This window comes from Homo sapiens, chromosome 16 (assembly GCF_000001405.40).
Source record: "Homo sapiens chromosome 16, GRCh38.p14 Primary Assembly".
Classification (NCBI taxonomy): Eukaryota; Metazoa; Chordata; class Mammalia; order Primates; family Hominidae; genus Homo; species Homo sapiens.
The window spans coordinates 58,531,139-58,555,188 of NC_000016.10; the positions used below are offsets into that span (position 1 = coordinate 58,531,139).

Genomic DNA, 24,050 nt, shown 5'->3' on the forward strand with positions numbered 1-24,050 from the left:
CCAACTATACCAATTATGTTCAATTAATTCTTGGATAATTGCATTTAATATGTTGTGTTCCTTCCTCCTAGAATGCCCTTCTCCACCAAACAAAACTTCATTTAAGAGCTATTTCACCTTCTTTGTCAAGTTCACTCCATTACATAGCAGTCACATTTCTTCTGATCTGAGGGGCCAAAGAATGGTACTTTCTGCAGTACTCATTTGCCAATTTAATTCCAAGATGGGAGGAAAAAAACTTATCATGTTAACTGTGTTGTATTACCAATTAGATAATGAACTCTTAAATAGAACTTGATCATAATCCTTCAAAATAACATAGCCAGTAGTCCTCAACCTTAGTTTGAGAGCCTTCCGCATTTAAAGTGAGAGTCTGTAAAACCAACAAGCTCCAGAGCCCTGTTACCCAGAGATTTATTCAGATATTTATGAGGGCACACATGGATTTCAACTTTAAAAACAACACCCCTACCCCCAAAAAAACCCTTAACTGACAAATATGTAAAATAAATCATTCCTGTATATAAAGAAGCAAAACATTTTAAAAGAAAGAAAGGAAAAAACAATAAAAAAAAACTTGAGAGACTGACACAGGTGGCCCACAACTGAGTTGAAGCAGCAACACCTAATCACTGAGGAATGGCTTTCAGGCAGAGGCAGTCAAGTAATTGACTTGAGTGAACACTAAATAGCATTCCCAACTAAGTTTGGAAGAAGTACAATTACTACTAAATGACTAATAGAAATCTATAGGCAATGCTAATAAATAAGCCCAGGTAGTTATAGTCTTCATCTACAGGAGATAAACTGCAGCCACACCTTCTGCTGTGGCGTATGTGCCAGCATTCTTGCAATAAATATCCGATGGGAAATCAGTTCAAGCCAGGCATATACAAAGCCAGGAGCTTTGGTAGGCCTCAAGATGTGGAATGTATTGCTGAAAGAAGAAAAACCTTAGTCAGAAGCACAGTCCAACTTAAATACAGTGAACAGCACATGAATGTAGGCTCAAAATGCTCAAGAGTTCTACTCCCAAAATTTTACTACATTAATCCAGCAAACCTTAACACAAAATCGCAAACACAATACTCACCAGAAAGCTGTAAGTGTCTGGAAATTAATGGTTTCCAACACATGCTCAGGTGCATTGAGTTCCAAGAGAAGCATGATAAAAATTCGATGGTAGGGAAGTTGCTGAAATTCACTCTGACGAACATCATGATCCTGAAGGAGAACTCCCACTACTATACCAAGGACCTACGTAAAACACAAATCAGAGCTTGTAAATCATTCAGATAATCCACTCACCACTTCGATGTCATGCTTTTTAAACTTTGCATTCTTAAACCCAACATTAAAGGAAAGCATATATACAATTTGAATACAAAATTACATGCTGGCAGCCGATAGGGTCATAAATTGGTCTGACTCCGCCTTCAGTGTTTTGTGTGTTTCTTTGCATTTCAACATCCTTGGACCACACCTGAATATTCTCCACAAATGCCCAATGGTTCTTCTTCAGCTCTAGAAATCAGCAAGGCCCCTCACATTTCACCATGTTAACACAATATAACAATCTAATTTGTCTGGTCTGACATGAAGTTGACATGTGGGAATGATTTACTCCTATCTTGGCATTTAGTAGGCAGGGGCCAGGAAAGCTGTTAGGCTGCAGAGATCCCATTCCACTTGACTTGCCCACTGAACAGTGAGGGGCTTGAAGAACACATCTCTAATTTCCCAAATCCAAAATCACAGTCCATTTTTACAAGTATTTTTGCATTGTTTTAATATTCAAATTTCCAGGAACTCCACTGTGTAAATCAAGCCAATGACTAATATCACTCATGTACTTGAGTTGCCAATCTATCAGCAGGAGGCACGTCTAGCCACCCACTCACAGTGATTCTGTATATGGGGCAAATTCATACTACCAAGCATTAACATACTGAAATACATTATGATCTCTTTTTGTATTTCGGTTAAGGCACTATATTCTAAGACAGAGCGGGTATGTTTACATATTATTTACAAATTTAATTTCAGGACAGAAAAGAGACATTAACAAAATGTTTGGGGGAAGGGTTGGCCTCAATAGGGTTAAGAACCACTTATGTGGCCAGGCATGGTGGCTCATGCCTGTAATCCCAGCACTTTGGGAAGTCGAGGCAGGCGGGTCACTTGAGGGACCCAATAGGGTTAAGAACCACTGACGTGGCCGGGCGCTGTGGCTCACGCCTATAATCCCAGCACTTTGGGAGGCTGAGGCAGGCGGATCACAAGGTTGGGAGAGCGAGACCATCCTGGCTAACATGGTGAAACCCTGTCTCTACTAAAAATATAAAAAATTAGCCGGGCGCGGTGGCGGGTGCCTGTAGTCCCAGCTACTCGGGAGGCTGAGGCAGGAGAATGGCGTGAATCTGGGAGGCGGAGCTTGCAGGAGCTGAGATCCCGCCACTGCACTCCAGCCTGGGTGACAGAGTGAGACTCCGTCTCAAAACAACAGAAAACAAACAAAACAAAAAATACAAGAAAAATTAGCCGGGCATGTTGGCAAGTGCCTGTAGTCCCAGCTACTCACGAGGCTGAGGTAGGAGAACGGTGTGAACCTAGGAGGCGGAGTTTGCAGTAAGCCGAGATTGCACCACTGCACTCCAGTCTGGGCGACAGAGCGAGACTCCATCTCAAATAAAAAGAAACCACTGATGTGGCCAGGCATGGTGGTTCATGCCTGTAATCCCAGCACTACGGGAAGCCAAGGCAGGTGGATCACTCGAGGCCAGAAGTTTGAGACCAGCTTGGGCAACATGGTAAGACTCTACTAAAAATAGAAAAGCTCCAGGAATCGTGGCTCATGCCTGTATTCCCAGCTACTTCGGAGGCACTCCAGCCTGGGTGACAGAGTGAGACTCTCTCAAAGAAACAATATAAAAAATAATAATAATAAATAAATAAATAAAACACCCCACTGATGTAGACCAAGACTAAGGCAAGAAAGGATTTCAGACCTTGTTCAGCAGATTAATCTTTGTGACAGTGTTGGTGGCCTCCCCTGAGTGTTTCACGAGCAGTGCAATGAGTCGAACAAAGGCATCCAGGTTGTGATAGCACTTGGCTCGGATCATGGTGGGATTGGCAGCAGGATTGTGCTGCTGCTCAGCCTGAGCACGGTAACTGATTTCAACACACATTTCAGTACACAGACGAAAGAACCTTGTTATGAGATCATCGGTCTTCAGTATTCCTTGCTGGTGCATCTACAACAGGAACAAAAAATAAAGACACAATGAGGTAACACACACAAATAAACTTCATATACCTTTAATTTTCAGGCTTAAGAGATATTCTCATTTGTTCCTACTGTCATATTTCTAATTCTTACATTGTAATAAATGTATTATCAGAATTATTTTCCCATTAAGGTGCCATGACAGAATTCCTCCAGTTTTAAGTTTAATGTAGAACAGGGAAGATGGAAACTGACAGACAGATTATCATGGCAATTTTGAACAGTAGGTCCCCACCAAATAATGTGAAAAATTAACCATGCAAATAAAACAAACTGTTCGTTAACTGTAAGTCATGTTAAGACATTGTGGACTCCAAGGAGAAGACTAAATTGCACATATTTTACTTTCTCACAGAATTTAAGGTAATTTACTTCTGAAGGATTTGAAGATAATTTCCTCAAACTGAATTAACCAATAACAAAGATTTTAAAACTCCAACAAGCTACCCCCAGAAAAATCAATAATTTGTACAACAGGTAAGTACCAAATGGAAATACAAATCTGATCTAGGTATTTTAATGTAATAAAATGTTACATTAAGTTAAAATAATGTGGGAAACACAAGTTTATTTAAAAGAAAGGAAAAATTAGAAACTATATGACATATGAACTAGAAGTGAAGCACAGTGGGAATGTTATTTGGCTAGTTCCCCTCAACCCTTTAAACAAACAAACAAAAAAAGACAACAGTAAAATATGCATTAAGGCTACAGAGGAAGAACAGTTCACTACTTACTAAACACAGAAACCAAGTTCCGAAAAAAAAAACTTCAAGGTTATCTTGAAATTTTTGAAACAACTTAACTGTTCCTGATAAGCAGTAAAGACAACTGAACTGGTTGGACTACGATAATACTGTACCCTGCTGGGACAGAATGCCAGCATGGCAAAGGGACTTTTTGTCTACACTGGTATCTGTAAAACTAACAGAGAGTGAGGAATATTAGGACTGAGTACTATGGTCAAGGAGGAGCGCAAGAAGGAAAGAATTTTCAAAAGGATACAAAACAGCACAGAAAAGTATAATACACTATCTTTTTCAAGAGAAAGATGAAATGAGAGCAAATAAGCCAGCAGGAAGGGCTGAGACAGGTGCCACATCCATACCCACGAAATAGCAATGATCAGAAAGACCAATGGATTCCAATTTCTTCCATTCAAATTATAAATCAGACTATAAAACATGCAGTAATAGCTTTTCAGTAGGGTATGCTTTGTAATTCCCTGGATTCTTTTAGGGGAGAAATATACTCGGTATGATTTACTGAGTAACATTCATTTTGAAAAGTAAACCTAATTTCTTTTTTTTTTTTAATTTTTTTTGAGACGGAGCCTCGCTCTGTCGCCCAGGCTGGAGTGCAGTGGTGCAATCTCGGCTCACTGTAAGCTTCATCTCCTGGGTTCACGCCATTCTTCTGCCTCAGCCTCCCGAGTAGCTGGGACTACAGGCACCCGCCACCACACCCGGCTAATTTTTTTGTATTTTTAGTAGAGACAGGGTTTCACTGTGTTAGCCAGGATGGTCTCGATATCCTGACCTCGTGATCCGCCTGCCTCGGCCTCCCAAAGTGCTGGGATTACAGGCGTGAGCCACAGCACCTGGCTGAAAAGTAAACCTAGTTTCAAATAACTTCTAGAATTGAAGTCAGTTCTTCCACATTCAATTGTCATTAATTTGAAAAGAGACCTAATTTGTAATCTTTCTTTAGCAATATACCTAAAAGTTTTGGGTTCAGTTTGAAGAAATATAATGGTCAATCTGCAGAAATAAGCAGACAACTCACCCTGAAAAAAAATTACAACAGTTCTAATAAAGGAAATTCCAAGGTCAATTCAGGAAAAGTACCACTCTTGCCAAGTTATATTATAAATTAGGACACATGGACTTATTGTGTCTGATTCCCTCACAGTCGCTGAAAGCAACCAGTGATAATAAAAAACGAATGCTAAATGGTACTATGGCTCGGTTCCGACATTTTTCCTGTTCATCCTATTCACAAACATTCCTGCCAAACTTGATTTTCAGTTAGGTGCTTTGTTCCTAACCCTTTTAAGTCAAAGTCCAACTTGCATCAAATCTAATGAAAATACTGGGAAGTATTTTCCAAAGGAACATGTCACTACGTTTAGGTAGATATTTAAATTAGAAAATACAATAAAACACTCTACCATTTAAATAAGCATTTTTGTTTTGTCATTTTTTTTTAATGTGGGCTACTGTGAGAATTTTACATATTTATTAGCCCACAGTCCCATCAGTGCTAGTAAAAATACATTTGGTAGTTTTATTATTCATTATCTGACCCATTGTACTTTGTAGCTGTGACAACTGAAATGGAATATACAGAACCAACGGTGGGAGGGAATGTTGCCTTTACTGCTTAGTGATCAACCATGAGAAAACAGGCTGTAATTTAACCATATAATGATGACAGTTTGGGTTTGCATGAGTATGGAGGTAACTGTCTGACCACATGTACGCAATACTGAGCTTTAATATTGGAGGCATCACACCCTACTTATGTTGAATAAAAAGCACCTTTCTTTCCAAAAGCTCTACCTGTCCAACAAATGCAGAGAAAGCTTTGGTACTGTCGCGGCCAGCTGCTGCTGAATGGTAGAGATTCACCCATTCCCTCAGAAGATACTCTGCCTTCTCCCTCAGGCCTGGAGGGTCATCATACTCTGAGGCTTGAGAGATCCCAGAATGCATCATAAAGTTTGGGCCTCCATGAGCACGATCAATCATTGCTTCATAGTTGGATCGCACTACTTCCATCAGCTGGGGCAATCTAGCACAATAAATAAAGGGTGAAAATCAGTCTCCTCGTAGTTGTGATTTTACAGACATACGCATGTATAGTTTGCTTATTTAACAGCAACCACCAGAGTGGTTTACCACTTCGCTTTACCACTTCCACACTGAAACAAAACTATACTTAGTCTCTTATCCGCTTGCTCATGAGCATACAACACACAAACAACTGCCCTCAGTTAAGCTACTTCTTGCCCAAAAAACGTGTTCATTTAAATGAAACTGATGTTCAGAGTCGACAAATATTCACTGTTTGCCTACTATGTACCATGCTTTCTTTACGTTACTTCTCTTGATTTCCAATAGTTCTTTGAGAAATTATTTCCATTTTCTATAAAGAATAGGTTTAAGGAGGATAAGTCAATTTGCCTAAAATCAGAAAGCTTTTAAGTGGCATGACCAGGGCTTAAACATAGGACTCTGACACTAAGTCTGGTACCGTATGTACTGCTCTGTGCCAAGAAGACTTGGCAGTCAATTAGGCTTTCATACTTCAAGTGACAATATTAGCCCTTACCAAAGCTACCCACCCATATGTGGTTGGTAAAGCAGTTATAACAAGTAATGTTAGTAAGTCTGCATATTCATTCCTAAAGATATTAGAAGACTACTAAATGCACAGGGATCTCAAAGCATTTCATCCTCACCCTTCTGGAGCATTGCCTCTGGAATGAGCATTAATCCTCATGAGGGTTTCAATGGTGTGGAACAGATCTGCCTCAGTAACATGAGCAACACTCCTTTCATCCACCAGCAGGATTTTTACTAACTGCATAGCAAATGCCACAGCCATGTAGTTTAAGCCATTCTCCATTGACTGGCAACACAGAAAACATAATGTGAGAGGGAAAACACTTAAGAGCAAACGTACTTCCCTGAGTCCTTTTGTCCGTGCAAGTAAATTCCTTCCATACCTGCGCTAGGTGAAGATCATACTGCTGCATATTAACCAAATGATTGCGAATTAGCAGCTCCACAGCCTCCACATTATATTTATATTCATCTCGACATTCAATTAGGCACCTAGAAAAAGTTCAATATCTTTACTCATATAGGCTTAACCATACTGTAAAAGGGCCCATTTTACTCAATGGAAATTTGCTCCAAACTAAGAATGCCTTGAGATTCAACTCCAAATCAGTGTCCAAATTTAAAAACAGCCAGTAATGAAATAGAACAGATAGCCCAAGCTTTCCTTTCAAATCCTAGGATACAGAGTATTCCATTTAAGACATTAAAATACTTATACACGAATACCACTTCTGAGAAATCACTGTAACCTTTTAAAACAATGACCTACAATTTATTCCCCAAAACAAGGTACTGGTTTTCTATATCCAACATGGGGAGAAGGTAGAGACCAGATGGAAAACAACTACTTAACAATTCTCACCTCTCAGAAGTAGGAAGTCTAAGTGTCCGACCTACCTACTAGAAAAAAGGGAAACCCCTGGACATAAACAGTACTATCTATGTCAAAAGGCAGTCGCAGTCCAATACTCACTACTTTTCGAAGATGGCTACTGACCTTGTGATCTGTTTGTTGCACCATGGAGACCCATATGCCCGGCCATCCTGCAGAGCTTTTAGGACCAAGAGGTGGCATTCCCTGTAGCGCAGCAGAAGGTCAGCATCAGCACCACTTGTGGCATCTAGTAAGCCCTCTACAGCCTATGGGAGAAAGAAAGCGTTCAAAACCATGAAAAATACAGTGCTTGGCCCAACTATCACAGCCAGAAACCAAATCTCAATGCCAAGTACCAAATACCTTCCAAAGCCTCCCTGTCCTTTCCACTCTCCAAACATCCCTTTCAGTTGCCTATCACACACACTCTAAATTCTATCTGATTTAAGTTCATTCTGTGCTCTTCATTGTCATAAAAGGCTCTGCTGTAGTTAAAATCCAGGGCTCCCTACCTACCCTGATCCAAATTATTGGATCAACTTGTCCCTCAAAATCTAAAGGGCAGCTGGGCTCAGTGGCTCATGTCTATAATCCTAGCGCTTTGGGAGGCTCAGGAGGGAGGGCCACTTGAGCCCAGGAGATTGAGAACGACCTGGACAACAAAGCAAGACCTGTCTCTACAAAAAAATTAAAAATTAGCTTGGCTTGGCAGTGAGCACCTGTAATACCAGCTACTCGAGAAGGTGATGTGGGAGGTTCACTTAAGCCCATGATCACATCACTGCACTCAAGCCTGACAGAGAGAGACCCTGTCTCTTACACACACACACACACACACACACACAGACACACACACCCCTCTAAAGGGCTACCTTTTAAAGTTTCTTCAAATCACATTTCCAGAATATCTTTAAGAAAAAAAATGAAGATTTCCAAGTTTACCATTCAAAACTGCCATGACTACATTCTACGTTGGAAAAAAAAAAAATCACCTACTTACAGAACTTGATTTATATTATGAAATCTTAAGCATAACTGCATAAATATGTAGATGGTGGTGCAGGTCAATAAATGTTTACACACCTAGCATTTTCTAAAAGTAATAGCTTAAGAACCAACCTTTTGGAGCAATCCAAGAGCAGCTATGGCATCCCGAGAGTTTCGAGATAAAACTACAACCTCCAAGAGACTTCGAAGAGCCTGAGCTTGAGGGTTCATGGCCAAAGTTGGTGGGATGGCATGTAGATGTTGCTCCAGTTCTGTAATACACTTATCATAAATCTGAGCTACATCATCTGTTGCCCAAGCTTGCTGTTTTACAGAAGGAAACAACCAACAAGAGACAAAAGAATGTTAAGGTTTTTTATTGACACATGTATCAAATAGAGGTCTACTAGTATGTTTACTCCCTTTTTCTTATTTTTACATTCAAACATGGAGGGCCTCTTCTTTTCCTTCTTCCTGAGCTATTCAGAATTAATACCATCAAGTGGCACAGTACAAGGCAGGCATAAGGGAAGAGGTGTTTCATTTGAGAGAGGAAAACCTGGCAGACAGCAGCATAATCAAGTGATAAAAGAGAGCATTAGTAACAATGAGACAGACTGAGGGCAGCACCACTTGTACCATCTACTAAGCCCTCTATATCCTAAGAAAGTAAGTGTTTCAAACCATGAAAAATACAGTACTCAGTCCAACTGTCAAAGCCTGATAGGATAGAGTAAGAATACAGCATTACTTCTGAGCTATTCCTATTTTTAAAAACACATTACCTGAACCTAGTCATGAGAATACACTGGACAAACAAATCAAGTCATTTAGAAAATAATTAGCCTATAATATTCAGAAGTGTTATGGTCATGAAAGATGAGGAAAAACTGAGTTACCTACACCAGCTAGAACTGAGGGAGACTTTAAAAATATGACAACTGAAGAAATGTGTGATTCTAAAACAGGTCTTTTACTATACATTATTGGGATACATGGTGAAACTCGAGTGAGGTCTATGAATTAGATGGAGTAAGGTTATTAGTATTCATTTCTGACCTTAATGGTTGTACCATGGTCACACAGGAAAAGGGTTTTTTAAGAAATACAAACCAAAGGAAAAAGGTTTTGTAAGAAATACAAACCAAAGGATTCAGGAGCGATGGGGGTATCAGGTCAGCAACTTACTATCGACCGGTTCGGGGGAAAATATTTTTCCCTATATTTCCAAGTTTTCTGTAAACACCTTTGAAAATTTTAGAAAATTCTTTTATTTAAAAAATGGGAAGGCTGGGCACAATGGCTCAGGCCTGTAATCCCAGCACTTTGGGAGGCCAAGGTAGGCGATCACTTGAGGTCAGCAGTTTGAGTCTAGTCTAGGCAACATGGCAAAACCCCATCTTTACAAAAAATACAAAAATTAGCTGAGCATGGTGGCACACGCCTGTAGTCCTAGCTCCTCAGGAGGCTGAGGTGGGAGGATCGCTTGAGTCTGGGAGGTGGAGGTTGCAATGAGCTGAGATCGCGCCACTGCACTCCAGCCTGGGTGACAGAGAAAGACCCTGTCTCAAAAAAATAAATAATAAAATTTAAAAATAAAAAACCGAAAGTTATTATGTTACCATGAGAATTCCCCTAATTAGGCCGAACATTAAAGTTAAATCACCCACACCCATGTCAATTTTTCTTTAATCCCCTGTATGTCATACTTAATTGGACACAAAGAATACCTACAACTCAAAAACTATAGGTGTTTTTTCCCCTGTAAATTATTCTCCCAGGAAGCAAGTCAAAAACATATATTAAATGTCAAAAACATTTAAATTAATTGGCAAAACACTCAATTTAATCTAAAACACATTTACCTTCATGGGCTGGGCTAAAAATCCCGTGGGCTGACTTAAGTCATTTGTAGGTAAGAAGCCAGGAACATTGCGTGCAAACTCTTCGTAAACAGCCAACTGCTTTGGGTCCACACCACCAACCTTGAAAGAAGAAAACCTATTTTGACAGAATTCACTCAATAATCAAAATAAACTGTTTTGAAAGTGGAAAGTCTGCATGTGGGTAAGCTCAGGGACACAAGAGTCATTACAACATATAACAGCATGATTAAGCATGCACGCACACACAAATGCAGTTCAGAAGAGGGCTTCTCATTTCCCTGAATCCTGCTAAGAGTCACCTCATTTATAAATTAACTGAGAGTTTCTCTTGGAAAATGCCTCACATGGGACGATGCCAGTGCAATTCTCCCTTGAAGCTGGTAAATATTATCAGATTTCTCACTGTCTCACTGGGAACAATAAGCAACCATTAATGTGAGAAGCCCAAGTTGGGAAACATGAAAACTAGCAGGCACATGAACTCCTTAGAGTAATAACACTTCAACAACTCTGGAGGAGCAAGGGAATTTAGAGCTATTTCCATACCTCCTCCACAGGCAGCCATTCAGTGAAATGCTATCAAGTTAAGATGTTTTCTCATAAACAATATTTAACCCTGCTGTCCTAATTCCAGTAAGGAGTTCAATCAACAACAACATTAAAAATAAAACAAAGATGGGACGGGGAAAGACAGAGCCCCAATTCTCACTTTCAGCCTGATTTGCTCTGGCATCCGTTCAGCTTGATATGTTAAAACAACAGGATCACAGTATCTGCGTCCTTCTTGCCTAGCATGTTTTCTCAGCTCAAATTCCTGCAAACAAAAAAAGTCACTGAGGTTCTTGTTATAAGGCACTTCCCTAAATTAAAAAAGAAAATCTTAAAAGGCAAATTCTAAACACTTACAGTTGCTAATCTCTTGTCCATCTCAGGGCCTGCTTTTTCTACTGCAGTCTTCTGAATAAAACAGCAAGCCAACTCACAATTGTCCTGAGCTAATTGAGCAGCTGCCTGATCCATCATTTCTCTTTGTTGTGGGGAAGCAGTCTATTAATGGAGGTGGGTGGGGGGGTGGGGGGAATAGAAGGAAAAAGACTTGAAAGTTGATGTGGACAGACAGGATAGTAGAAAATGCAGTGCATTTGGCAAATGCATTTTAAGTTCTGACTCTACTTATGAACAAGCTGTGATCTTGAAACAGTCTTAACAGCTTCCTCACTTTTAAGACAAAAATATCCTAGACACCTTATCAGTTTATTGTGAACATGCCTTAAAATCAGTAAAGCAGGCCAGACGCGGTGGCTCACACCTCTAATCCCAGCACTTTGGGAGGCCAAGGCAGGTAGATCACTTGAGGCCAGGAGTTTGAGACCAGCCTAGCCAACATGGTGAAGCCACTTCTCTACTAAAAAAATACATAAATTAGTGGGGCGTGGTAGCACATGCCTGTAATCCCAGCTACTTGGGAGGCTGAAGCACGAGAATCAGTTGAACCTCAGAGGTGGAGGATGCAGTGAGCCAAGACTGCACCACTGTACTCTAGCCTAAGCTACAGAGTGAGACCCTGTCTCATGAAACATTAAAAAAAAGGCAAAAAACAACCAAAAAAAATCATTAAAGCAGTAAACAAATTATTAATCATGATACCTGAATTATTAACCATGATATCTGAGACTCAAAACTAGTAAGTGAATTATTTGAAAAGTGTGTGCACATGCAACATCACTTTAAGTCATTTTGTATCGGCCTTCTCAAACAGCTTTCATCCTTCCTGGTTAACAGAAATGAGATTGTCAGATATCACATTTCCTTTTTAAATCTTAATTTATTTAAACCAACAAATATTTGGGTATCTACTATCTGTCAAACATCGTGTTGAGAATATAACAGAAAAAAAAAAAAACACACAGACATGATGCTTTGCCTCACAGAATTACAATCTAAAATGATGGAAGACATCAAACAAATATGGTGATTATTAAGAATAAGTGGTAACGCCCAGTGCCATATATAGACAAAGAAAAAAATTATTACAGACAAGCAGTAATACGTTTTGTACCTATACCAAGGAAATAGCCAACTTACACGAAGGGCTGAGGCAAAACTGTTTTTTAAGTTGGTAGATATGCTCATGAGCAAAGGTTCCCTGCATGTAATCATAGCCATTCCAGCTGTCAAGTTACGCATCATGTGATGAGCTGCTATTCGCATTCGAGATTCCTCCGAATCCAGGGCAAAATCCTTCCTGACTATTTGCTCACAAGTAGTCATGGCAATCTTAATTGATCGATCCACCACAGGATGGACCAGCTCCTGGACAGCCCGTTCAATTGCCTGACGCACACACTGCTTCAACTGTGGATGGGCCTGAAACAAGGGAATCTGGGGGGTTGGGGAGGACAAAGTCAACACCTTGTTTAAATAAGACAATCCAATTCCTACTGGCAATCACATTCATGATTTTGTAAATCAAGATTAACCAAAAACTACCAGTTTCTACTTAAAGTTAACCAATGGAAAATTCGGGTAACAGAAACTGAGCTCCATACAGGGAAATGTATTCAGTATACCCTGTGATACACAATAATAGATATGTCTTTTTTTTAAATCCAAGTTTAATGGACAAACTGTTCATTACAATATGCATTAACTACTTAAAGACACACTGCTGGCTTATTTAAAATTTGTGGCTCAAGTGCTCTTAAAAGAAAGCAACTTCTCCACTAGCTTGGGAAAATGTAAAAAGAATAAAGTTTATAGAAAAAAGACTTCTTACAAAAACTATTAAAATTAATTCATCAGAATAGTGAGCATTTTACAGTGCCCACTGAAGTATTTGGCTTCATTTGAAAGGCTGTTTCTAATCTTTTATTGCAGGTGTAAATTATGCCCCAAAACTTACTTGGTCCCTTTAACTTGTTGAATTAAAAAAAAAAAAAATTAAACTAGCATATAATAGTGTTCACAACACTAAGAGTATTCTAAAGATGAATCACAATTTCTGGATCTAGGTGTCCCACTGCCTCTCACTCCACCCCTCTAAAACTAAGTACCATGTCTATAGGAGTGGGGATGGGGGGACAAGGATAAAATGATTTCTCTGATACCCTTTCAATTCCTTTTAATAAAAAGTTCAATGTATTAATGTTACTCTTGTATTTGTGAACATTTTCAGTTTCTAAAAAGTAAGGACAATGAAAACTCCACTCACCTGATTCTGTATTATATATTCTGTTAAGTAGAATAAAAGACTAAAGATAACAATAAAATGTCCCCTTGAATGTACAAAGCAAATACTAACTATAGGAAAAAGGACTGATCAGAGGTCATCTTACATGACCATATTGTATCAGACCTCCTTCTGGAACCAGGCCACAACAACATAACTCAAAGTGCTAAGTCCTACTTCAAGATCTTAGCCTAGAAATTGTATACACACCCACAATCAGCTCATTTCCAGCCTTCAGGTGGAAGAAATGGCTTACTGCAGAAGGCTAAAGTGACAAGATAAAGAAAATAAAAAGCTATGATATACATTAAGCATCTTTTACTCTGTGTAAGGAATTCCTGGAGATTGTGATTTTATTGCTAGCTAAATTTTAGTATCATGGGTTTGGATATGAGGAACCAATATAACTAACATCTAGTCACTCTATCTCTTAAGGGAAGAAGAACAATCCCAACTGAACTACACAGCAGTTCTAGATCTCCATCCTCTCTGACAAACTCTACAACCTAGGAATCCAGAGGGAAGGGCAAAGAGCTGAAGAAAAGGTGGCCAAACAAAATTTACCTTATCACAAACTAGAAGCTGGGAGAATGGAGCAGTGTTTACTTACTGTTGGATTCAGAGTAATGTGTGGTGCCAAGCCCGCAAGGGAATAGACATTGATGTCGTGGTAGCTGTACTGTGGCTGTGGTGGAACCGTGGCTGTACAAGTGGTGTTGGTAGCTGGTGTAGTAGAAGTTGCTAAATGTCAAGTAATAAAAAGAGATTTAAAAAGTACATTTGTTGACTTTATTATAAAATTAGCTTAATATCATTAAGTGGTCATTATCTAATTAAACGAATTAAATTGGGAGAGGAGGGAAGGATGTAGCAGGTCCTATTTTTCCCACCCTGAAAGGGAAATTCTGTTGTTATAACAGAGATATACACGAAGTATGTTAAACTATGTCAGTGCCAGTGCCCCACAGCACAGAAATCAACTGAGCAGCCATGCCATATTGTCAGGCCCAAGTCCTATAAACTTAGTCTATATTATAAATGTATGTTTTCAACCTAGCCTGTTCCTAGGTTTATCTGGGGATTCTCAGCTGCTGAGGACTGAGAAAGAAAGAAAAGCTCAATTTATTCTAACCACAACTCCCAATCATTCAACACTCCCATACCCTTCTCCCATCTTCTTCATGTAGATAAAACAGTCCCATTCCCTTGGCAGATCTAGCAGGTCTGGCCATACCCAGATTTGAGGGGTTAACAGGCCATCATAGTATGCAGTTATTTCTGGGACTTCACACAACAAAGGAGATAACCTGGCCTAGCTGGGGTATGAGAGGCAACTGATTAAATCACATTTAGTTAATAATATGCATGAACTGTCAGGATGGAATCTAAGATGGTAACACAAGGCCTAGTCATTACTTCTGCTTGATAATTAGAAGGCTCACCAAAACGTATACAAAGTTTCACCACTACATTATGTGGGAAATTATAGTTTGCGATATACATGGACAAGTACCATTTAAGATAGTATCCTAGCTAACAGAAGCCTTCCTTGACTAATTAGCACACTTACTTGTGGTTGTGATGGGAGGGAGTTCTTCTGGCTGCTTGACATCTTTCTTTGGAGCAGAGAGTTGCTCATCTAAATTCTTCAGGCGATCTTTATCCTTTAGGAGGTTTCCAGGTTTTAGCTCATTGATGTCTAATGCAAGGTTCTTGCAGAGAACCTCGATTTCAAACTTCAAGTTTAACTGCACAGTTCCAGAGTTGGATTAGAATTTTTAAAAGAAAACTTTAGTTTTACTCATAATATACTCTACTTTCAGTTATTATAGTACTTCCCCCGAAATACCCTGCCTTCACTGTAAGTTTTAATAATGTGAAGGCAAAGAATGTTCCAGAGGACAAGGAAGCAGTAAATTACCTTTAAGTCATGCTCCTGATGTAGCTCAGCTAATACATTCATAATTGCCATTGTCCAAGGGTTTGGTGGCCTAAAAACCTAAAGAAAAGCTATTATGTTAAGCTGGCCCAAAATGTGCCCTTTAATTTGGATTATTTAAAACAATTCAATACAACATAAGGGGGTAGGGGGGAGTCAAACAAATAAAAAACAAAAAACAAGGATTAAAAAATAACCAAAAACAGTTAAACATAGTTAAACACTTATACCTCTGTAGCCATAACAAAACCCCTAGCCTTCTCACCTATATCACATTTCAAAAACAAAACAAAACAAAAAACCAAAAACCAAAGCCAACCATTATAATCTTTCTTATTTCACCCAGCCTCTCAAATTGGAAATCCAAGTGCCATAGAGGAAAACAGACTTAACTAGCTTTACCTCACAAGAACTAAGAATATAATCTCTTGACCTCATGCTAAAACAAAGCAATGCTTAGAAATTAGTCATAAATAAAATATTAAAATCTACTCACCACACTACGAATGCTAGATTCTAAGACTTTGGCAACAAAGGGCACTACATAGAGCAATTCTTGTTGTCCTTTAACATAAGCCTCTAGCAGCAATGATTTCACATCCAAGTCCTAGAATAAGAAAAATACTTTCAAAAGCGGGGAATATACCCCCCAAAATGGTATAACAAAACCAAAGAAAAGTATTTTGCCAAGCTTATCCCCAAAACAGGAATCAACATAATGTCTAGTCCTTGCCTTACAAAAAGGGGTTAACAACTCAAAACGTGGGCCAAAATCTTACAAAACCCCAATAATCATTAAATAGCTCCAAACAGCCAATACTTGTAATCATAATGTGCTGAAGATTCTCAATTTTTACACATTTAGATGAAACTCACAGTGTGTAAGATGGGTTTGTTTTTAGCTAATGTGATCATTCCTAGCCAATGTCCCAAGTTCTTCAGCAAAGAACGATCTGAGAAATTGGCTGCAGCTTTATCAGAGGTCAGGAGCACCTGAAATAGTGTAAGATTAAGAAAGATATGAGAATAAGCTTATGAAAGAAAACTCAACTAAGTATTTGAGAATTCCATTATCCTATCCTAAAGACAAGTCATCATTTCTAAGAACAGGCCCCAAAGTAGAATTACTCTGTATATCATTCTCAATATCATTTTGCTGTGTTTATGATTCAACAGTGCTATTTTTACCTTGAAGAAGTCTTTACATTTTATTTTTTCAAAATAGGTACAAACACATTGCACAAAATTCAAAAAGAACACAAAGTTATGTGCCAGCTATCCTCCCCTAGAAAAGTATTTTCAACTCTGAAAACCTTAGCTAGGTTTAAAGCAGAGACCTAACTACAAAGCTATTTTGAAGTGCTAAATTAATTTAAATGAGGATGATAGCCATGCTTAAGTCCTTAAAGGCAGCAAGCATACAAAGGAATATAATCAAATTAGCCTCCTATTGCAATCTTCAGTATACCCAGGTCATTAACAAATCTCTGCAGCCAACCAAGATAACTTTCTGAGATATAGTATAATACTGTTTATATACTTCTTTTCAAATTTCTAAAAAACCCAAACCATTTAACTGATTCTCCGGTTACTGTTTTTCTAAGGGGGGGCAGAACTAACATAGGAGAGTGTTTTGGCTGCAGGTATGCACACATGTATATACCCATCTACTCTGTGGTACCTCTTGACTTAGGGCTATATTTAAACTTCTGTTTAAAAAACATGGTCTTGAAACTTTGCTACAGAGTATGTGGAAACTTTTATGTATCCCAACCACCCTTGCTATCAGATAATAAAAACGAAATAGAGCCATGTTCCTTAACTCTATACAGCAACAGCAGAATGGCACAAGTCAGCTGTGCAACAGAGAGCCAGGAATTCTTTTGCACTACAGCGTAACCAAGAATGGGGAATATTCCCATCCACAGGTTTAAATATAGTGCTGGTTCCTAAGCCAATGACCCAAGTTATTGAGCAAAGAATGACCACAGCTGTATGCTGGTTCTAGAAGTTTTTCCTCCTAAGAAATAAATGATGGTTTAGAAATTAAAATACTTGAATTTTGTTGAATAAGCCTCAGCTCAGTAGAATTTGACCTTAAACTGCACAGACTCCTAGACAACAGCTATTCCACAAACAGATTTAGAGTCTAAAGATATCTTGCACTTGAATACTACAAGATACAAACGAAAACATTCAGGACAGCATTGTTTATAATAGTTTAAGTGATTAACAACACAAATGCCCAGCAGCAATACAAATACATACAATGGTTTTCTACAAGACTATATTTTTCTGTTTTTTAAAAAAGAGGACTGGCCGGGCACAGTGGCTCAGGCCTGTAATCCCAGAACTCTGGGAGGCCGAGGAGGGTGGATCACCTAAGGTCAGGAGTTCGGGACCAGCCTGGCCAATATGATTAAACCCCGTCTCTACTAAAAATATAAAAATTAGCTGGGCATGGCGGTACAACTATAATCCCAGCTACTCGGGAGGCTGAAGTAAGAGAACTGCTTGAACCTGGGAGGTGGAGGCTGCAGTGAGCCGAGATCGTGCCACTGCACTCCAGCCTAAGCAACAGAGTGAGACCACATCTCAAAAAAATTGAAAAAAAAAAAAAAAGGGGGCTACAGCAAAGAGCATTATCATTATCATGAATAATATCCAGGGGAGAAAAAAAAGTAAGTGAAAAAAAAAGAAAAGGATGTACAGAGGGCGACACCATACAGAATATGCTAACCAATACTATGCTGCTTATGTATAACAGTGGTAAAGTTCTAAAATCATGCATGGCATGACAAAAACAATTCATAATAGTGGTTACTTTCAAAGAAAAGGCACAGGGTATGCCTATAAATTTAAGTTCTGCATAAAATTTAGTTCCATATAAGAAACAAAATCTACAGCAATTTCCAGAGGTACCTAATATTGACAATATATATGGAAAAATAGCAAAAATCCTACCTATATAATCAAATATTTCCAAATTCAAAGCAATAATTAAAGGAAATATAAGAACCAACTCTTACTTTAATGTTTCTGTAGGTCTCATTCAGAACCATCTTGTTAAATTCAGGATTCTTCAGCGTGTCAAGGAAGTTTGAATACAGGCTATGAAAGTTTGGCTCAATACTGACTCTCTTCATAACCAGATACTGTGAAACCCAAGGCATAAATTCTTCTTTCACCGTTTCCTTTAGCTCTTCAACCTAGCCGGTCAATACGACATGGGAAGCACAGAATTACACTATGATAAAATAACACTTGGTTTCTATGAACCATACTATACAGCACATGGCTCCTTGCAAAACTAACTAGATGCTAAAGAATGACTTTCCTTCACACCAGATAGATGCTATGAAGAAAAGTATGCTCAATTCCATAGTCAATCACAACTCAACCCATACGTGATTGGGACTGAAACATCTATGGCTATTTTCAGCTTTAAAATTATAAAACATGTAGTACCCCATCTCCACATAAATTACTAATCTATAAGCTGCCATTAACATACCTACAGTGTAACCAAGAATGGGGAAAATTCCAGAACTATGTTTTCCTAAATTTCCATCTACAGGAATCCTTAGCTAACTCTGGCGTTTCCAAGTACAGTTAGTTGACCCTTGAACAAGGATTTGAACTACATAGAGTAAAATTAAATGTAGATTTTCTTCTATTAATACCTCCACTACCTCGGAGACACCAAGACCTCCTCTTCTCCTCCTCAGCCTATTAAATATAAAGTTAAAGACCTGTATGATAATCCATTTCCACTTAACAGATGGTAAATATATCTTTTCTTCCTTATAATTTTCCTTCATAGTTTTTCTAGTTTATTTTATTCTTTTTTCTAGTTTATTTTATTCTAAGAATACAGTATTATATGCATATAAGATAGGTGTTAATCAACTATTTGTTTTATCACAGTAAGGCTTCTGCATGGCAGAAAAAATAGTAGGCTGTTAACAGTTAAGTTCTGGGGGAGTAAAAAGTTATAACAGGATTTGGCTACATACAGGATTGGCAACCCTAACGCCCATGTTGCTCAAGGGTCAACTATACTGTCTTACCATGTAATCTGAGGGGCAAGTAGCATGCATTCTTTATGCTTTTCACAAAGTTTGCCTCAGTTATTAGGTTGTAATAAATACTCTGAATAGTCTCTGGGAGAAAATGAGGTATGACTAATGACTAGTACAAATGAAACTTTCTATCACCATGAGAACATTAAGCTTATTTCAAAAAGCTTATAACTTGCTGCAAAACAAAACCTTAAAAACTGGTACTATTTAATGTCTACCAAACCCACTAGTTAAATATACATATTCCCTTTGAGTTTATTACCTCTACCTTTAAAGTGAGTATGTAAAAGGGCCAACTATACATCCTTTAGTCCATTAAGGAAAAAAGAAGGCATTTATAAACTATGACAGCATGCTCACCTTTTGTGTCATATTTGACTGTGAGAGATTATTGAAAATAAAAGCAATTTTCTCCTGGATATTTTCTGGGGGCTCCACAATTCTCTCAGTTTGATCTGTGGCCACAAGCAACGTATCTATATTTGTAGTATTAATAGAAGGCTAAAAAAAAAAAATAAAGTACATAAGGCAAATAAGTTGAAATGCTTCCCTGAAAAAAATCCAATAATGTATACAGATTTAGTGTTAAAAAATACACATGGTATGACTGTGTATTAGAAATGTAGGCAAGAATAGTGAACTATTAATATGTTTGCCTCTGGGAAATATAAGGATGGGAGATACAAAGGAAGACATGTCAGTCTTTTATATCTTTTTTAGTAGGCATGTGTTATGATAAAATTCTAATACATGTTCACCACTGATTATTACAATATAATCATAAATCCTGGAAGAGAAAAAAGATAGATCTACTTACTGGCACATCTTTCTTAAAGCTGACTCCAGTTGGCCTGGTGACCGTAACCGTTTTAGCAACAGTGGTAGTTGTTGAGGTGGTTACCATAGTGCTAACTTGACCAGCAAGAGGAGCTTTTGCTGGAACCTGGGCCTGAGCCTGGGCCTGAGCCAGTGCAATACTTCCAGGGGTTGTGATAGAGCCTTGCATTTTCACAGGAGGATCTCTAGACTGCTGTCCATACTCAATATACTAAAAGGGTAGGGAGAGGAAAAAGAGTTAACCTTAATTGCTAAGTCTGGATTATACGTCCCTCTTTTCTGAGAGGGTAAAAAACATGTCTGAGTGCTCTTTTGGTTCATCTAGCTCACATACTCTTTGCCCCATACCCTGGCACTAATACATAAGTAGATTCCATGAACTTCAGCGATAAAATCTTAGTATTTATGAGAGAACTACAGCAAAACAACTTCTAAAGAAGCAGCCCCAGATACCTGCATATAAATGCCTTTAAACTTCTTTAAAAACGCAAACTTTAAAAGTCTTAATAATTCATACAGGAAACTCATCTGTTTTCTAATTAGGCAGCAATGAGAAACCAAAGGCCTTAAAAAACAAAACAAAAACCATGGTAGTATGAGTTATTATCACAATAAAGCTGTTATTACGAAAAAAAAAAAACTCACTTTACATAGCCCATCCCCACAATTTAGAGTGATAAGGATCCTGAAGCTATTTCAACAGTCCTTACCTAGCAGAACTAAACCTACCAATTATGTATGCAACAGTTTTATTTTTAGAGGGACATTTCTCAAGTAGGAAAGAGTCTCAGAAGAAAGTATAGCCCTTTACGCTGATAAAGTACAGAAAGTGATGATCTCTCTCTCTCTCTGGCTATCTTGCTACAGTGGGTGCTAGGGACTAGTTTTGAGTGATCACTCCCCTGCCATCTCACTCTTTCTCCAAGTCTTTCAAGCTCTATATTCCTGTCTCTTAATTTGTCTCAATCCACTCACTTGAATGAATATACTCCACATTCCCAGAGATTAAGTCATTACAATAACCCTGCCCTCCTAATAAACCTAGAAGGATGAGGTAGAGAACACTGAACTAAATTAAAATACAGAATATCAAGTAGGTTCAAATTCTGATCTTCCTGATTCCTTAAAATAAGATCTTATAAAGTTGCCTACTGCATGTTAAAAATAAAGTCAATTAACCAACTTTCCTGTTCTATATAAACTGATGTTGACCAAAACCAAGACAAAGGTATAGATAATGCTTACCAATTAACCTAAAATCAGTCACTGAAACAATGCTTCTCAAATTTCAGTAATAATAACAATCATACAAAATGGTTTTTAAAATGTATATTCCTTACGTCTATTTTCCCAGGGACTGACTCCTTTTAAATAAGCATCTCAGGCGGGCGCGGTGGCTCACACCTGTAATCCCAGCACTTTGCAGGGCGGAGGTGGGCGGATCACCTGAGGTCAGGAGTTCAAGACCAGCCTGGCCAACATGTTGAAACCTCGTCTCTACAAAAATACAAAAATTAGCCAGGCATGATGGCAGGTGCCTGTAATCGCAGCTACTCAGGAAGCTGAGGTGGGAGAATCACTTGAACCCAGGAGGACAATGTTGCAGTGAACCAAGATTGCCTCACTCTAGCCTGGGCAACAGAGCAAGATTTCATCTCCCCCTCCCAAAAAAAAAAGAAAAACAAAACAAAAACCACACCTCAAAGGAATCTAACGAGGTGGTAAGAAGCCTGTATTTTTAATAAACATGATCTAAGTCTTATGTGTAACAGTTTTGGCTCATATTAACTCAAAAATTTCAGATTTTTATACACAAGATTCCCACTCCAATTCCCTTTTAGCATCAGGCAGGGTGTCTGTACTTTATCTAAGATAAAGATTCTCTTAGTAAAACTGTTTATTCTTCAACTGCATTACAGGTTAAAAGAATGAGTAAAAAGTTTTTGAGGTAAGCCTGCTACTTAGAAAAGATAATCCAAGAATGATTATTTTTTCATGTTCTCTTGTAAGGCCACAAAATGAGCAACCTCAACAAAAGATATGTGTACCTATATCATGCCAATCATTAAGAAATCTTAATGCCATTACTATCAAGTCTACAAAAAAAAGCCAAAATATTAAACCCTCCAAATACTACATAGCTATTTGGGTTTTAGTTACAGAGGGCACTTACCTCCTGTAAATGATGTGGAAATTGCATAAAGTGACTGATAGAAGCCAAATGCTGACAATACTGGGGATAGTCCTTCAATCTGCCAACAAAATTATTCTACCATCATTTCATGTCAGAACAGAAGCATCACTAACAAAATGTTTTTGTCCAAATGCTAATCTAGGTCATTTTTTTCCATCTTACCTATGAATAACTTATTTGAAGAAAATGTCAAAGTGAAGAAAACAAAAATAGAAGGAGAAAATACTTATGATTTTCACAGGATTTACATCAGAAAATACACTACCTCTGATTTTTAAAGGCTATATTTTACTTAAAAATAGATTAAAACGAGCCACTTCTCTGGAAACAATTCAAATTTTCACCAACATACGAATGGAAAAATAATTTGTAGTCAACTCATATAGTAGAATACTACACAGCTGTAAAAAAAAAAACAGACTACTGAAACGTAGTAACGTAAGTCTCAAAAAACTACATATTTGTATGACTCTGTGTAAATGGCATTCTAGAAAAACTTTAGAGATTATCAGAGATTGGAAGTCAGGGAAGGGGACTAACTACAAAGGGGAACAAGGAAACCTCTTGGGAGATAATGAAAATATTCTGCATCAGCCAGGCATGGTAGTTTATGCCTATAATCCCATCACTGTGGGAGGCAGGAAGATCACTTGAGGCCAGGAGTTCCAAAATATTCTGTATCTTGATTGTGGTGGTAGTTACACAACTGTATAAATTTGTCAAAATTCAAAGAACTATACACCTAAAGGGAAGACTTCTACTGTACGAAGTATACCTCATAAATAACCAACCAAAAAACCTCTGTTCTCATTTTAGTTTTCCTACCACTTATATTAAAAAAGAGAGGCTTTGGCTGGGCCCAGTGGCTCACACCTATAATCCCAGCACTCTGGGAGGCCGAGGTGGGTGGATCACCCGAGGTCAGGAGTTCAAGACCAGCCTGGCCAACATGGTGGAACCCTGTCTCTACTAAAAATACAAAAATTAGCTGGGTGCAGTGGCACGCGTCTGTAATCCCAGCTACTTGAGAGGCTGAGGCAGGAGAATCGCTTGAACTCAGGAGGCGGAAGGTGCAGTGGGCCCAGATTGCACCACTGCACTCTAGCCTGGGGGACAGAGCAAGACTCCATCTCAAAAAAAAAAAAAAAAAAGCTTCAGGCCAGGCACAGTGGCTCACACCAATAATCCCAGCACTTTCAGAGGCCAAGGTGGGAGTTTGAGACCATGGTGAAACCCTGTCTGTACAAAAATTACAAAAGGCTGGGAATGGTGGTATGCACCTGTGGTCCCAGCTACTCAGGAGGCTGAAGTGGGAGAATCACTTGAGCCCGCAAGGTCAAGGCTGCAGTGAGCCGAGATTGCGCCACTGCACTCCAGCCTGGATGA

The 24,050-nt window shown here is 38.6% G+C and overlaps 1 protein-coding gene and 1 non-coding gene across 5 annotated transcripts in view; both read right to left on the bottom strand.

The window, feature by feature from the left end:
• Positions 1–24,050, bottom strand: part of CNOT1 (CCR4-NOT transcription complex subunit 1) — a 109,876-nt gene that overhangs the window by 11,188 nt on the left and 74,638 nt on the right. For 3 of the 4 annotated variants that reach the window (NR_049763.2, NM_001265612.2, NM_016284.5), the window contains exons 22-42: positions 22,644–22,722; positions 20,451–20,681; positions 19,994–20,134; positions 18,581–18,760; positions 16,428–16,544; positions 16,048–16,158; positions 15,534–15,611; positions 15,183–15,360; positions 14,223–14,353; positions 12,469–12,765; positions 11,290–11,430; positions 11,093–11,197; positions 10,363–10,482; positions 8,630–8,821; positions 7,634–7,776; positions 7,020–7,128; positions 6,753–6,922; positions 5,851–6,082; positions 3,009–3,257; positions 1,094–1,257; positions 820–937 (exon numbers count right to left, since the gene is read on the bottom strand). Coding sequence is in view for 3 of the 4 variants with exons in the window: in NM_001265612.2 (NP_001252541.1) it covers positions 820–937; positions 1,094–1,257; positions 3,009–3,257; positions 5,851–6,082; positions 6,753–6,922; positions 7,020–7,128; positions 7,634–7,776; positions 8,630–8,821; positions 10,363–10,482; positions 11,093–11,197; positions 11,290–11,430; positions 12,469–12,765; positions 14,223–14,353; positions 15,183–15,360; positions 15,534–15,611; positions 16,048–16,158; positions 16,428–16,544; positions 18,581–18,760; positions 19,994–20,134; positions 20,451–20,681; positions 22,644–22,722 (3,286 nt within the window). In the remaining variant the exon portion in view is untranslated. Of the gene's footprint in view, positions 1–819; positions 938–1,093; positions 1,258–3,008; positions 3,258–5,850; positions 6,083–6,752; positions 6,923–7,019; positions 7,129–7,633; positions 7,777–8,629; positions 8,822–10,362; positions 10,483–11,092; positions 11,198–11,289; positions 11,431–12,014; positions 12,766–14,222; positions 14,354–15,182; positions 15,361–15,533; positions 15,612–16,047; positions 16,159–16,427; positions 16,545–18,580; positions 18,761–19,993; positions 20,135–20,450; positions 20,682–22,643; positions 22,723–24,050 lie in introns of those variants that run through there. The other variant, NM_206999.3, reaches the window with a different exon arrangement.
• SNORA46 (small nucleolar RNA, H/ACA box 46) lies at positions 17,361–17,495 on the bottom strand. The gene has a single exon (NR_002978.1). It is a non-coding gene; the product is annotated as a small nucleolar RNA, H/ACA box 46 (small nucleolar RNA).